At 40.6% G+C, this 15,402-nt stretch overlaps 1 protein-coding gene across 15 annotated transcripts in view; it reads left to right on the top strand.

Moving 5' to 3' along the window:
* Positions 1 to 15,402, top strand: part of GNG2 (G protein subunit gamma 2) — a 143,622-nt gene that overhangs the window by 71,120 nt on the left and 57,100 nt on the right. For 2 of the 15 annotated variants that reach the window (XM_047431488.1, XM_047431487.1), the window contains exon 3: positions 986 to 3,737. The exons of the other annotated variants lie outside the window; for them this stretch is intronic. The gene's annotated coding sequence lies outside the window, so the exon portion shown is untranslated. The remainder of the gene's footprint in view (positions 1 to 985; positions 3,738 to 15,402) is intronic. 15 annotated transcript variants of the gene reach the window in all.

Here is a 15,402-nt window from a genome sequence, read left to right on the forward strand (position 1 = left end):
AATGTATGGGTTTCCTTAGTTTGATCATCTAGGTGAAGAATGAGACTTTGTAATGTCAGGCAGCTGTAGAAGTGATGGCCCCCATAACTAAGGAGGCAGGTTGTCATCTTGGACAATTCCGGGGTGGGGGCATCATGGGAGTAAACCTGTGACGTAAAAAGGATAATGTTAAAATGAAGAAGTGTCACTTGGTAGGCCCCACAGATGGAACCAAATTTCCAGTTGAACTGGTATTCTAGCAGTAACTTCAAAAAAGGAGAGATAAGTTGAGGAGTTTGATGAAAAAGTTATTAAATGGGTGAATCCATGATCAAATTTGCTTTCCAGGGACATAAGCCCATGTTTAATGTTGCCTTCATTTCCTAGTAGATTACCAAGTAGTGTAGGGTCCCTTCTCACCTGGTTCTGGGAGGGCAAGGAACTTATGTGATGGGAGGCTACGTGAACTTACGTGATGGCCAAGTAGACAGACTGTCATTGGCTCTGCCATGTTGGAGCCAGGGTCCCATAGGGGCATAACAGCTGTGTGCCCCACAATGTTTTGAGGGAATAATGTTTTACAGCAAGTTAGTGGGAAATATCTGCATAGTACTAACATTCTTTTCAAGTTCTGCCTTAAAATGAGATGACTGGGAGGCCTGCTAGTATGAAAGGGGCTCTATCAGCAGAGAAACCCTCTGGCTATGTATTTAACACCCCGTAACTGTTCTCTAGAGGGTTCATGCTCTCTGGGTATTGTTTCCCATTTATTTTACTTTCCATCTATGGCCTGGGCTTCTCAAGTGAATTGCCTGTGTCCTGTGGTTACATATGTTAGAGAACATGAATACTAGTTTACAGATCTCATTTTCTAAAAATTTTGGAGTGGCATTATTCCAACCATGTCCCCAAGCTGCCTTTGAGGCTAATATTATTGCTTAAAAATGATTATGAGATATTTAAATTATACAGGAAATGACAGAGAATTATTTTTTTCCTTTCTTAGTGGTTCTTTTGAATGACTTGCAAGAACAATTTTAAGGGTAGAAGTAGCCCCTGCATTTTGATTTTGCTGGATCTGACATATGGTTCTGATGAGCATTGGGATGGATGTAGGAAGGCACACCACAGACCTGGCCAGGAGAAATGATGGGATGGTTCTCAGAGCTCTTCCCTTGCTTCCTCATCCCTGTTTAATAAAAAGTGAAAGATACAAGCAAGTAACATGAAACAAAGCTAAAAAAGATCACTTATTAAAGAAAGAAAGAGGAAACTGTTAAATAACAGCTCCAGCAAAAGCCCAATGGAACAAACAAACAGCCACAAAGGACCAGGGAAGGCTCTTTGTCTGAATTAAAAATAACTAAAAATGGTACAATGTGCACTGAACGCAAATGTGCAACTCATTGCAGAGCCCTCGAACTCTGTAACGTTCCAACCTCTGAGATGAGGAATGTCTCTGCCATCCATAGGGAAGAGCTTCCCGGCCAACTGCTCCTGGAACCAAGGCACTGTCCCCTTTCTTTGACAGCTAGCTACAGCACTTGGGTATTGTCAATTCTCCCTTCAGTGCTCCTACTGCAATACCATGAGGATTTGGTGGAAATCAAATGCTGAGGTAATCCAGACCACTCATTAATAAAGACCATAAGATTCTGGTGTATTTCCCTTCAGCAGCAGTGAGGAAAGATGGAAAAAGTGGAAAGAAAGAGCAGCTGTGAGAAGATCTCTGTATCTGATAGTGCCTTGTTGAGCTTTCTGGGACCCCCATCTCTACTCTGGAATTGACCTGATCTTCAAGGACCTATGTCCTGGTGTATGATTCTCTCCCTTTTAACACCACCCTGTCTCTACAGCATATTTCTTGTCCTGACCCCTTTCTGACAAACAGTTTGCTCTAAGGCTTGTTTGGAGAACTTGATCCTTTCCCCTCTCCCTGCCTGTTTCAGCCCCCGCCCCTACCTCCATCAGCTCTTGACTGGCTTTGCCTCCACCAGGTTCCAGCCACTCTCTAACTGATGCCACAGTCTCTGAGCCAGCCCTACTCCCTTGAGGGTTAGGCCATCCCTAGCTGGGATGGAACTGAAGTAATAATAGTTCCGACATTAAACAGAATTAGGACTTGTGTTCAAAATTGAGGATAGAGAAAGGAAAATAAACTTTTTAAAGTATGGTAAAATACCTGTAGCATAAAACTTACCATCATAACCATTTTTAAGACTACAGTTCAGTGGCATTAAATGCATTCACATTGTTGTTCAACCATGATCATCATCCATCTACAGAGCTCTTCGTCTGGCAACACTGAAAATCCAACACAGTGAAACCCCCATCTCTATCAAAAAATTTTTAAAAATTTAAAACCTGACACTCTGTTTTAAATAAACAATAGCTCCCTATTCTGCCCTCCCCCCAGTCCCTGGCAGTCAGCATTCTGCTTTCTGTCTCTATGAATTTGACTACATACATATAAGTGGAATCACACAGTATTTGTATTTTTATGACTGGCTTATTTCACTTAGCATAACGTCTTTAAAGTTCATCCACATGGTAGCATGTGTCAGAATTTCCATTCTTTTCACAGTGCAATAATATTCCATTGGAAGTATTTGTCATGTTTTGTTTCCCCATTCACCCATCAATGGACACTTGGGTTGCTTCCACCTTTTACCTAATGTAAATAATGCTGCTATGAACACCAGTGTACAAATATGTCTTCAAGACCCTGATTTTAATTCTTTCATGTATATACTCAGAAATGAAATTGTTGGATCATATGATAGTTGTATTTTTAATTTTTTAAGGAAGCATCATACTGTTTTCCATGGCAGCTGAACCATTTTACATTCCCCCCAACAGTACCCAAGGGCTCCAATTTCTCCATATCCTCACCAGTACTTGTTATTTTCTGTTTTTTAAATTCTAATTCTGAAAGGTGTGAGGTGATAGCTCATTGCCATTTTTATTTGCATTTCCCTAATGATTAGTGACTTGGAGCATTTTTATATACTTATTGAAAAAGTTAAGAACATGAAATCTCATACAAATATGTAACAAGCACATGTAAAAGATTTGATTAACTCACTGAAGGAAACACTGAGTGAAAAAACCTGGTTTCAGGAATACACGAGACTGAATTATATATAATCAATGAAAGAAGAAATGTGGAAATGAGATTGCCAAGTTATATTCAACACTGGTTAATGTCCCACAGGGCAATAAAACCATAAGCTTTGGGGTTATTTTTTCATTCAAATAAGTGTCCTCCTACAGTGTCAGATGAACCTAGGATCTAGTATGACATTGAAGGGCACACAGTAATCTTTCTGCCTTCTTTCTGAGCTTTGGAACATTTTTCTTAACAGACTCAATACTTTTACTCCCAGAAACCAGTTCTGTGTCTTCTTTCCATGTTCTCTGCAAGAGGGTAGAAATGGGCCTGGGGCAGAGCAGAGAGAAACTTTGCTTTCCTAAAGTTCTTTCCAGCTGGCCTTAGTGAGATTTTGGATCTATTGGTCGTCTAATTGCCAGAAAGAGTAGCTCAACAGTCATGATTGAATAAAAGTAATGGTGTAAATGTATCCATCCTTTATATGCTTTCATCAGCTGACTTTGGGTTTTGTTTATTTAGGTTAGATATTCAGTCTATGCATGCAAAGCTCAAATGTGGAGAATTTGAGGATGATACCAGTGTGTTCCCACACCCTGCCATATTGACCATCTAAAATATTTGAGAATGCTTAGGATTTGCTATCTAAGTAAGTGTTAAATCTGCCAGAATTATGTTTCTGAATTATCATTTTATATAAAGCATTTGTTTTGGGATATCCAGAGTTGGCATGCACCATTAGAGCTATATTGGGTGTTAACATACTGAAATGTTTTCATACCAGTTGGTAAAGAGAAAGTATTTCTTTTTTTTTTTCTTTTCTTGTTTTTGGAGACAAAAAAAGTTGCCCAGGCTGGAGTGCAGTGTGATCATGGTTTACCAGAGCCTCAACCTCCCAGGCTCAAGCAATCCTCCCAGCTCGGCCTCCCAAAGTAGCTGGGACCACAGGTGTGCACCACCATGCCCAGCTAATTTTTTTTTTTCTATTTTTTGTAGTGAAGCAGTCTCACTTTGTTGCCCAGACTGATCTCAAAACTCCTGGGCTCAAGCAGTCGGCCTGCCTAGGCCTCCCAAAGTGCTGAGATTACAGATGTGAGCCACCACGCCCAGCTGAGAAAGTATCTCTTTATTGAGATTATAAGGCATCTTATCATGCCACCCATCAGTGACCATGGCGGGGTAGTGGACATGGGAGGACGGCCAGCATAGATATTGACAGCCCCAGTAGCCACTGAGTGGTCCGGGAGGTGAGAGTGGAGGTGTGCATAGTGCCCTCCCTCTGCTCTACGTTGTCAGGGATGACAAAGCAGGCAGTGGAGCAGGTGGCATTGGTGGCAGTGTTTTGGAAGTGGGGGTTGGGGAGAATGGGGGTGCAGGGGCAGAGTCAGTTGGAGCATAGGCCCTCTGGGAGGCATTAGCATCCAGGTATATAATAACCCAGTAGTGCAGAGCCTGCAGTATGCCCAGGAGCAGACTGTCAGTATAACAGTGAAGTTATTGATGTGGTTATTACATGGTTTGAACAGGAGCATCACTTAGCTAGGTGATAGCTACATCAACTAAGATCACAATAACAATCTGTAAAAAAAAAAAAAAAAAAAAAAAAAAAAAGACCAATGATTTGGAAATTTCCAGAATATTTTGGAAATTATTTTCTCCATAATGTAGCATGTATATTTTAGGATATAGTTAATTCAGCAAACAAAAGAAATTTTAAATAGATTTTGATTAAATATTTTTGATTTTATCACATATTGATATTTTATCTTTCTAATTATTAAATATTTTTATTTTGAGTATGACTGTTATTTCTGGCTATATAAAAATTATAGTTATTTAACCAAACCATCAAAACTAAGAAAAGAGTAAATTGGGAAGATATTGAAAATATAATAGGTACATATTTGTTTTCTATATTACATAAAGTGCTTATTCAAGCTAAAAAGATGGCACAAGCCTCCTATAAGCAGATAGTTGAATTTTAACAGGCAGTTTGTATAAAAGTAAAGACAGGTGGAGGAGAGGTTCCCCCAAAGGCAGGGACAGTGTCTGACACAGGCCTGGTTTCCTGGTCTGCCTAGTAGGAGCTTGATAAATGTTAATTAATTGAATGAATAACTGAGTCAATGTATGAACAACTCTTCAACCTCACCAGTAATTAAGTAAATGCAAACGAAAACAAAAATGAGATATAGTCATATCTATTAATTTATTAAAATTAAAGAAATAGGCTAGGCATGGTGGCTCATGCCTATAATCCTAGCACTTTGGGAGGCGAAGGTGGGAGATTGCTTGAATCCAAGAGTTCAAGACCAGCCTGGACAACATAGAGAGACACTGTCTGTACAAAAAATTTAAAAAATTAGCCGGGCAGTGCACAACTGTAGTCTCAGCTACCCTGGAGGCTGAGGTCAGAGGATCATTTGAGTCTGGCAGGTCGAGGCTGCAGTGAGCCATGATTGCACCACTGTACTCCAACCTGGGTAACAGAGGGAGACCTCATCTCAAAAAGAAGGAAAAATAAAATAAAATCCAATGCAGGAGAAAGAAAAATTCAATGCAGGAGAACTATTGTGGAAACAGGAAAGCTAGTCATCACTTTCTGAAAGGACCTACTTAGTTTATTATAAGCAATCAGGGATACTTACTTTCTTCAACCTGTTTGGGGTATTTATCCTCAGGAAATGATGGTAAAGAAAATGAAAACTTTCTTTAAAATTGTTTACAGTAGAGCTATTTATAATAGTAAAAACTACAAGCAATTTACATACCCAATAGTTCAGTGAAATATAATGCTTTATATTTGAAATGATATATTTCATATGTAATCATTTCAAGTGATTATATTTACCTCCAGTTTAATGTTAATGAATCAACAATAGATATTAAATAAGATGTCTTTTAAACAGAAGCACACAGAAAACAAGGTTATATGTTGATTGGTTGACCAAAATGTTTAACAGAGGCTCCAAGCAACCTAACCCCATATTTTTGCTAGATGCAATGCTCTGTGTTTTTGGCAATTTATAGAACATAACTACCATGAATAACAAGAATTGATTATATTTAATATGTGGTTTGAGCAAGGGCGTGGACTTATGTGCTCACAGCTGCTCAAATATTATTGGTGATGTTCAAAATCTTGGGCAAGGCAGAAAGAAATCTGTTTTTGGGTTATTGTATTATTTTAAAAAAATACTTTCCCTATGGCAGTGAACACACACAGTTCCAGACCTCTACGATTTCCAGTCTTTTCTGGAGTTTTTCAATTCTCTTTTTTTCCTCTAAGATCAAGAAGAATATCATTATTTGAGTAGCATAGACCTGCACGATAAATCCTTAGAAGATGGCAGGGACTTTCACAGATGTACTCAATATTTTCCCTTGTGTCCCTGCAAGGTCAGAAAATGAAAACCACCACCAACTCTATGGTTTGGGAAGAACTCAGACAGTGACAGGGTAGCTGTGACCCAAATCCTAATCAAATAACCTTTGCTGCAAATAACAAGGACTCCAACCTCAGAGAATTTTGTTCTGTTCCCAAGCTGTATCCACCATGGGCATTCTTATAAAAGCAGTAGTCAGCAGCTTTGGTGAACTTTACCATAGAAGGAATTTCTCAAAAGGCATGCAATGCTCAGAGAATCTCAGGAGAGCTAGAGAATCTTCAGACATGCAGGATGGGTAGACAGAATAACACTCAAATCACACCACAGAGCTGATCCTAAGAAGGTACCTCGCCTGCCTCTATTGGATGCAAACACCACAGCTCACACAGCCGACACCTGACCCTGGGTGCTCAAAAACTGCCACTGGAATTGCTGCCACAGCTGTCTCTGAAAGCCCAGAGTAGCTGCCATCACACCCACATGTACCATCACTGATTCTCCACATTACCAGCTTCCAGTTCAGGGTCTGGCAGGAGCCTGAGTGTGTACCTGTACCGTAGCTGCAAGGGAGCCTGGGAAATGAATTTTAGCCTCTGCCTCAGAACCTAGGAAGAGAGAGAAAGGAGGGGCAAAGAATAGTAAAAGTGCCTTACCATCTTGCATAGGATGTGTTAGAATTCTTTACAGAGAGGGATTCACTTGGGGTTACTCAGAGCACCATACGGAGATGTTGTTGGGATGAACTGCCCTGGCCCACCCACTCCCAGCTAAGGCAGCTGCAGCATGATCTGTGCAGGGGCCTGGGCTTCACAGACTGATGTAACTGCTCTGTATATATACCCCTTTCACTCTAGTGTTGAGAAAGAGGGAAACTAGATGCAATGATTAAAAATATTTTAATACCAAACTTCAAGCTTTTTGACTCACTCATGCTCCAAAAACAAGCGCAACATCAAGACTAAAGGTGTTTGTGTCCACACCCATTGTGAGATTCAAGTTGAGTTTTCGGTGTCATATTTGTGTCTTAGCAAGTTGTCGATCAGCTTCATTTCTTTAAAAAATTATTCTTCGGAAAGCACTTTGTGCCCATTGATATATGAGACATCTTCAAACAGTCGCTACGTCTGCCTGATTGCCCAGTCAGCTGGGGACACACAGGACATTACGGTTTGGATATGTAGGTTCTGACAGATCTTGACAGATAAATGTAAATGGAAATATATCTACACTTAAAAATATTTTTTCTTTTGCCATTGTATTGAATATTTTTTAGTGTCAGTTTCTTGTTATGTGAGTGTGAGGAATTGTGGGAGATGGAGGAGTTTATATTCTCTGCAACTTCTGACTTGGTTGGCTCGCTGCATCCATGCTCCTGAATCACCCCATCACTCAGGGATTGGAAATAGTTTGTCCCAAATAACTATTTACCTTTCACTGTGGCTCCAATCTTGAGAAAAGTCTATTCTTGCTTCCTAGACACTTAAGATTCAATAATATTTGAAAGAATTATTTGTGGAAGTATATTTGTTTTACGTTTTTATTGTGAGATAGCTGTGGTTTTCAATCTTTAAGGGGGTTTATATTTTCTGTTTACCATATAAACGAAAACTACAGTAGATAAGTATCTTGAAAATAAAAATGATCATCTGTGTTAAAATTGCAATAAAATTTTCATCCTAAATACCTCACTACATGGTTTGGCTGAGCTTTTCTGACCATACCTTTAGATTAACAGTGAAAAAATAAAAATAAATTTAGGCACCTTAGATCCACCTTAGTTACCTTTACTCTTTCAGTCTGAATGACAAGACAAGTTCCAAAAGAGCAGAAGCTGAATTTGCCATAGAAGTCAACCATGGCAACAGAGGGGATATTCTTTGGCAGGGTGATATGGTTTGGCTGTGTCCCCACCCAAATCTCATCTTGAGTTGTAGTTCCCATAATCCCCACGTGTTGTGGGAGGGACCAGGTGGAAATAATTGAATCATCGGGGAAGTTTCCCCCATCCTGTTGTTATGATAGCTAGTGAGTTCTCACAAGATCTGATGGTTTTATAAGGGGCTTTCCCCAATTTTACTCGGCACTTTTCCTTGCTGCTGCCATGTGAAGAAGGATGTGTTTGCTTCCACTTATGCCGTTATTGTAAATTTCCTGAGGCCTCCCCAGCCGTGCAGAACTGTGAGTCATTTCCTTTATAAATTACTCAGTCTTGGGTATGTCTTTATTAGCAGCATGAGAACAGACTAATACACAGGGTACCCTTCGGTACAACAGAGAACTGAAACAGATAGCATTTTCCTTCTTCACCCTTCTCAGCTAATAAACTCAGGGGACTATTGCTATCACTTTATTGCACAGAAGTTGCTAGAATCTGGGCTTCCCAAATGAGGCAAGAATTTTTACTCTCTGCCTTTCCTACCACCTGACCCTCAGGGGCCCTGCCCCTTTCCTCCTGCCTCCTTCTTTATTTAACTATTTCATATTAAGCTTTGTTTTTTTAAAAAACCTACTAGGAATGAAGACATTGTGATACATTTTATGTACCATACTTACTGATATATAATGAGCCTATTCTCTTTTTTTGTTTAAAATTAGTATTCTGTAAATGTAAATTTATTCCTGAAGCATGATTTGGTTTAATCAATTTACTGAGTTTTTACTTTTACAGAGTGGTAAAACTGGATTAGAATGCCATTATATCTTAGTGAAGAATAAGAATTTTTTAACCTTGCATTGGCATCTCTAGAACAATAATTCCCAACACTTTGAATTGGAAAAGATTTCTTTTTAAAAGCATTTTATAAATCTCAATACATTATAGGATAAGAGATGTACTTTTAATATCCATTGGTTGAGAAAGCTATTAATTGTACAGTATTTTTAAATGAATTTGCAATTGATCTGTCACACTGGCATCTCCCTATAATCACGAAAATAGAACATATGTGTGTAGAATATATTTTGCATGCAGCCTGCTGGAGAATCTCTTTTTTTTTTTTTTTTGAGACGGAGTCTTGCTCTTTCGCCCAGGCTGGAGTGCAGTGGCGCAATCTCGGCTTACTACAAGCTCCGCCTCCAGAGTTCACGCCATTCTCCTGCCTCAGCCTCCCGAGTAGCTGGGACTACAGGTGCCCGCCACCACACCCGGCTAATTTTTTGTATTTTTAGTAGAGACGGGGTTTCACCGTGTTAGCCAGGATGGTCTCGATCTCCTGACCTCGTGATCCGCCTGCCTTGGCCTCCCAAAGTGCTGGGATTACAGGCATGAGCCACCGTGCCCGGCCGCTGGAGAATCTTTTACAGGGACTCCGTGACTTTATCACTAAGCCACGCTGGCAGCACAGGCATGACGGCTCCTGGATTTTATTCAGGCTGACAGCCACTGCCAAGTCTCCTTGGACCGAGCTAGCAATGAATTGATGGTGCTATGGGAGAAATTGGTTCCTTCCAGACATGCTGGCCATGCTCCTCTGACCTGTCATTGATTTGTGAAGTGCTGATTCATTCAGACATTTTTTAGTTATATAAAAATACATGTACAAACCATTTTAAACAGAAAATAAATCATCCTACAACTATTTGAACAGATATTTATGGCTGGATTCAAAAGCATTGAAATTAAGGGTCTTAAGTAGAAGTATAACAACGGTAATAGCAGAAGAATTTCTGCAGTGAGAATTCATTTCCCTCTCTGCATTTGGTGTTCAGCAAAACTAAACCTGTATTGAAAAGGAGTCCATTCCTCTTTCATCAGAGATTGCCTTTAGCAAGGAAACAATGGACAGCTTTTCCCAGTGTTCTCTCCTTTTCTCATTGTCAGGGTGTTCTTCTGTGACATTTAATTTGAACCACTGCCTGTCTCAATAATGTAACAATTTGATTGGGTCAGATAGAAAAGGTAGAAGTCTTTTTTAAACCAAAGGATTTTCATTTGAAGGTTTGATAACCAAATTTGATTTCTGGATCCTATGATCCCGGTGATGTCCCTTGGATTCAGTCCCCCTCTCCTCATCATTAGTGGTATCCTCCTGAGGAGAGAACAGAATACCCTACACTAACTTTAGTTGCTGGTCTTTACCGATTTAGGTTGGTATAAAGACAGAACCAATGTGAGACTAGGCTTAGAGTATAAAGTTAATATGTGCAGGTTGGGAAATAGGCACTAAAAATTATAGAGTTGACTGGATCCTGTATTAGTTATCTATAGCTACTTAACACATTAACCCAAACTTAATGTCTTAAAACAACAAACATCTATCTTCTAATAGTTTTGTGGATCTGGAATCCAGGATGGTTCTGGCTCAGGCGCCCTCACAAAGATGCAGTTAAGGTATTAGCCAGGGCAGCTGTCATCTGAGGCTTAAGTGGGCCTGGAGGATCTGGTTCTAAGCTCATTCATATGGCTGTAGGCAGGAGGCCTCAGTTTCTCTTGGTCGGGGCCTCTCCATAGACTGCTCATGACCTGGCTTTTCCCAGAGCAAGCGATCCAAGAAAGAGGGCCCAAGACGGAAGCCACAGTCTTTTGTAATGTCATTTTAGAAGAACCATATCATCATTTCTATACTATTCTGTTGGTCACACAGGATGTGAATACCAGGGCAGGGTTTATTGCAGGTCATCTTGGAGGCTGGCTACCACAGGCCCAAATGCCTAGTTTTTCTAGAAACCATGGAGAGCTGCATTCTTTTAAGTCTGGTGCTATGTCTAAGGACAGACTCTTGGTCAAGTTAATAAAAATGATCTGTCATATTTTAAAGATCTATCTATCTATCTATCTATCTATCTATCTATCCATATATATAGAGAGAGAGAGAGAGAAGAGAGTGTCTCGCTCTGTCACCCAGGCTGGAGGGCAGTGGCGCGATCTCGGCTCACTGCAGCCTCCGCCTCCTGGGTTCAAGCAATTCTCCTGCCTCAGCTTCCTTAGTGGCTAGGATTACAGGCGTGCGCCACCACACCCAGCTAATTTTTTTTTTTTTTTTTTTTTTTAGTAGAGATGGGGTTTCACCATGTTGGCCAGGCTGGCCTCGAACTCCTGACCCAGTGGTCTATCCATCTCAGCCTCCCAAAGTGCTGGGATTTTAAGGCATGAGCCACCGCACCCAGCCTAAAGACAATTTTTTACCTTTGCTTTTATAATGTAAATTTGATTGTTATATTTAAGTAAAATACACTTATAAAGTATAAATAATACTAGGGTACAATATAGAAATCAAAATTTTCATGTAAACTTCTTATATAACCATAGTTATTAACAGATATTTACCTATCATTATAAAATAAAGAACTGCACTATTCTGAATCTCATTGTTTTCACTTAACAGTATATTATGGATATCTTTCAATGTCAGTATATAGAATTCATTCTGTTTTCTGGCTACGTAATATTCCATTGAGTGACTCTGGCAAATAGAATAACTTTACCAGAATTATCTAGCCAGTCTCTACTGTTGGATAATTGAGCTTTTTCCTTCAGCTTTTAATAAAATATGAATCGTGTTTGTGCATAAGTCTTTTTGATCTTTTTGTGCTGTGTGAGAATTCTTCAGGGCAAATCTTCAGAAGGTGAATTTTCAAGTGAAAGGGTATAACATTAAAAATTCAACAGATATTGCTGAATTATCTGCTAAAAATGTTGTACCTAATTACACTCTTTCCAATGGTGACAAAAGTGCCAATAACCTCTTCCTTCTAAAATCAGCCTCATTTGACTTGGGTATACCTTACTATGATTTTGAGGAAGGCATGGTGTTGTACTTGGCAGAGGAGTTTAAGACCAAAAAGGAAAATAAAGGGCCTGCTGTAAGATCATAGCAACCATCAGGGATTGCATAAAGGACCCCGTGAGTGACTGATTCGTAGGCAGAGGCACCCACTTCAGAGCTGCATGTAACTCCAGGGCCCAAATTTGACTTCTCCCCCTTGAGTATGAATACTGAGGAAGTTTGTGTAGCTCATTTGTTAATAAGCTAAACTCTGACATCTTCAGACATCTGTCTGTGCATTGATGAAGGCACTAAAGCCAGAAATGAAGAGAAATGGATTGTGGAAACCTGGCTTCTTGCAGTTCTTCCCAACAGCCTACAACCATTCCTTTCTGAAAATCCCACTGTTGCTTTGGTTGATGCCTCAGACTCAAGATCCTTTAAGCAGCATACAAACTGAGAAAAGAAATGCATTGAGAGACCAGGACTCTGAAAGAATGGAATTGATCCATTCATTCATGGATTCATTCAACAATGAATAAATATTTAGTACCCAGCGTGGGGCGGAAGCTATGATAAGCCCTATGTATGTAATTGTGAACCAAGACAGGCACCAACATGGAGGTTCCTGTCTAGTGGGGAAGATATACAATAATATAATCACAAATATAGATTTGGAAACTGTATTTATGTCTAGAAATTAGCAGTATTCCAGGAAGCCAGGAAAACGGAGATCTGCAGGATGAATTTGAGGTCATTAAGAGAGTTGCTGGTAGAGTCATGACAGGCAGAAAACAAATGAACAAATGGCATGTGTGCAAAGGCCCTGAGGCAGGAAAGAGGGGGGCTAGCTAAGGAACTGAAAAAGGCCAATGTGGTCAGAGGGAGTCACAGCAAGAAATGAGGCTGAAGAAGGAGCTGGAAGCCAAATCATAAAGGACCGATACATTTTCCTGGAAGCATTTTGAGAAAAGGAATTCAGGATATGGAAGTGTTCAAAAGCCCAGGATGGAAGGAAGGGGGAAAGTGACAGCCACTGGGCAGGAAGCGAGAGATCTCAGCTGGGGCAGGAGGTCTCAAGACTCTATTAGCCATGTACCTTTTGCTCCTCATTGTCTACCTGGGCTTCATGGGCAAACACTGCTGTGCCCCATCTTTGCACATGGCACACACTCCAGAAGCTGAACAGCCTTGTCTGAGCCTACTTTTACCCTCATGGACTTAAAAGTCTGTGCCCCACTTTGCCTTTCATCCACCTGGGAGGATTTCAACAAAAGTCCATGTCTTGTTCTGTTAATTGAATTACAAAGGAAAGGCCCTGGTGCATTCAGCAAACCTTAATCTGTCTCCCCATTACCCTAAAATGTTCAATGTAAAAAGCCCATGGCAGAATGCCTCTAGAACAGCACTTAATTGACATAATATGGGTCACCTGTCTACATGGAATTAGCTGACAGAGCTTCCAGAACAACCTACTTTCCTCCCGTTTGTCTTTAGTTTTTGAACTTCCAAAATGCATCACTGCTACTCACGTCAGTTTTGAGCCATTATTTAACAAAGAGGTGTACAGTTGGGAACTGTGCTCCTAGCTCAGAATTTGTCTAGTGGTGCACTTGGCGGGTGAGAGGGGAGTGTGGTCAGGGCCCTGGAAGCTGGGGCAGGGGCTTGTCAGTACCATTGGTCGGCTTTGGCATGTGCAGCAATGCAAAACAAAGTGTAAAGTGGCTTGGTGCCATGCTTTAATGGAATAAGCCTTATAAATACCCTATGTACATGTGTATGTATGTGTGTGCTTGGGGTGGGAAAATATGAATAAATTCTGTTACGGGGTAGGGAAGGGAATGGTTATCAAGGCCTATGAGAATGAAATAGTCCCTAACCAGTAACTTGGAGTTCTTGTGTCCTGACTTGGGAAGCCACAGAGCTGAATGGCCAAAGATGTGACCTTGGAGACCCATTGCCTGAGTTCAAATCGTGGCCCCTCCACTTACTGACTGGGAAATCTTGGAAATTTAGTGAACTTCATCTGAACTTAATTTTCCTCATCTGTGGAATGAGAATAATGATAGCTTTTTTTTTTTTTTAAGAGACAGAGTCTTGCTCTATTACCCAAGCTGGGGTACAGTGGTGCTATCATAGTTCACTGTAACCTCTAACTCTTGGGCTCATGTAATCCTCCCACCTCAGCCTCCTGGGTAGCTAAGACTACAGGTGTATGCCACCAAGCCTGGCTAATTTTTTAAAAAAACATTTATAGAGACAGGGTCTCACTATATTTCCCAGACCGGTCTCCAAACTCCTAGCCTCCAGTGATCTGCCTACTTTGGCCTCCCAAAGCACTGGGATTACAGGCGTGAGCCACCATGCCCATCCTGATAGCCTTTTCTTATGTTTTTTTTTTTTGTTGTTATTGTTAGATTAAAGGAGTTGAATCATGAAAAGGGCTTTATATAAAGTAATTGCTTAGTAAATGAAAAAAAGTATAGCTAATAGTGTCAGGCACTGTTCTAGGTACTTTACATATATTATTTACTCTTCACAAGCTCCCAGGAAATATGTGGTGGTGTTATCATCCCCACTTTCAAGATGAGGAAATGGAGGCACACAGGTTAAGTAACTTGCCCAGCATCACCTATTGAGTAAATGGCAGAACTGAGACTCAAACTTGGGCAGTGTGGCCCAGAGCCCAAGCTCTTGACCACTTTGCTGCACTGCCTCTCAGCCATATATAAATGTTAGCTTTCATTATTCTTGGGAGATGGGGAAGAAAGAATGGGGGAGATATAGTAAGAATGGCCAGAAAAGGAAGAGAGCACTAAGATTCCCTTGTACCTTAGGCAGGACTGTGAGCTGCTCCCATCTTCTATCCCCACACCCCAACCCCCAAAATCCCTTAATTCCAGTGGCTCAGCCTAAATACTGAATGTGTCCTGATAATGTTACACCCTCACTGATTCCAGTTAGGTGAGGAAGAGACTGTCACTTCCTGCTGTTGCTACGGCTGCCCTGGTTGGTGAAGGTTGAGCAGAGGTCTTTCCAGAGATGCCTAACACCATCTCCAGGACAAAACTCCTCTGTGGGTGGAGTCCTGTCCACTTTCATTACTGCTGGGCTTCTTCAGACAAACCAGAAGTGCCCAGGGGTAAAATTCCCAAAACAATTGCATAATTGACCAAGTCTGACATTCTCGAGAGAGCTATTCCCTACAAGGTTACCAGCC

The sequence above is a fragment of the Homo sapiens genome, chromosome 14 (genome assembly GCF_000001405.40).
Source record: "Homo sapiens chromosome 14, GRCh38.p14 Primary Assembly".
Taxonomy (NCBI): Eukaryota; Metazoa; Chordata; class Mammalia; order Primates; family Hominidae; genus Homo; species Homo sapiens.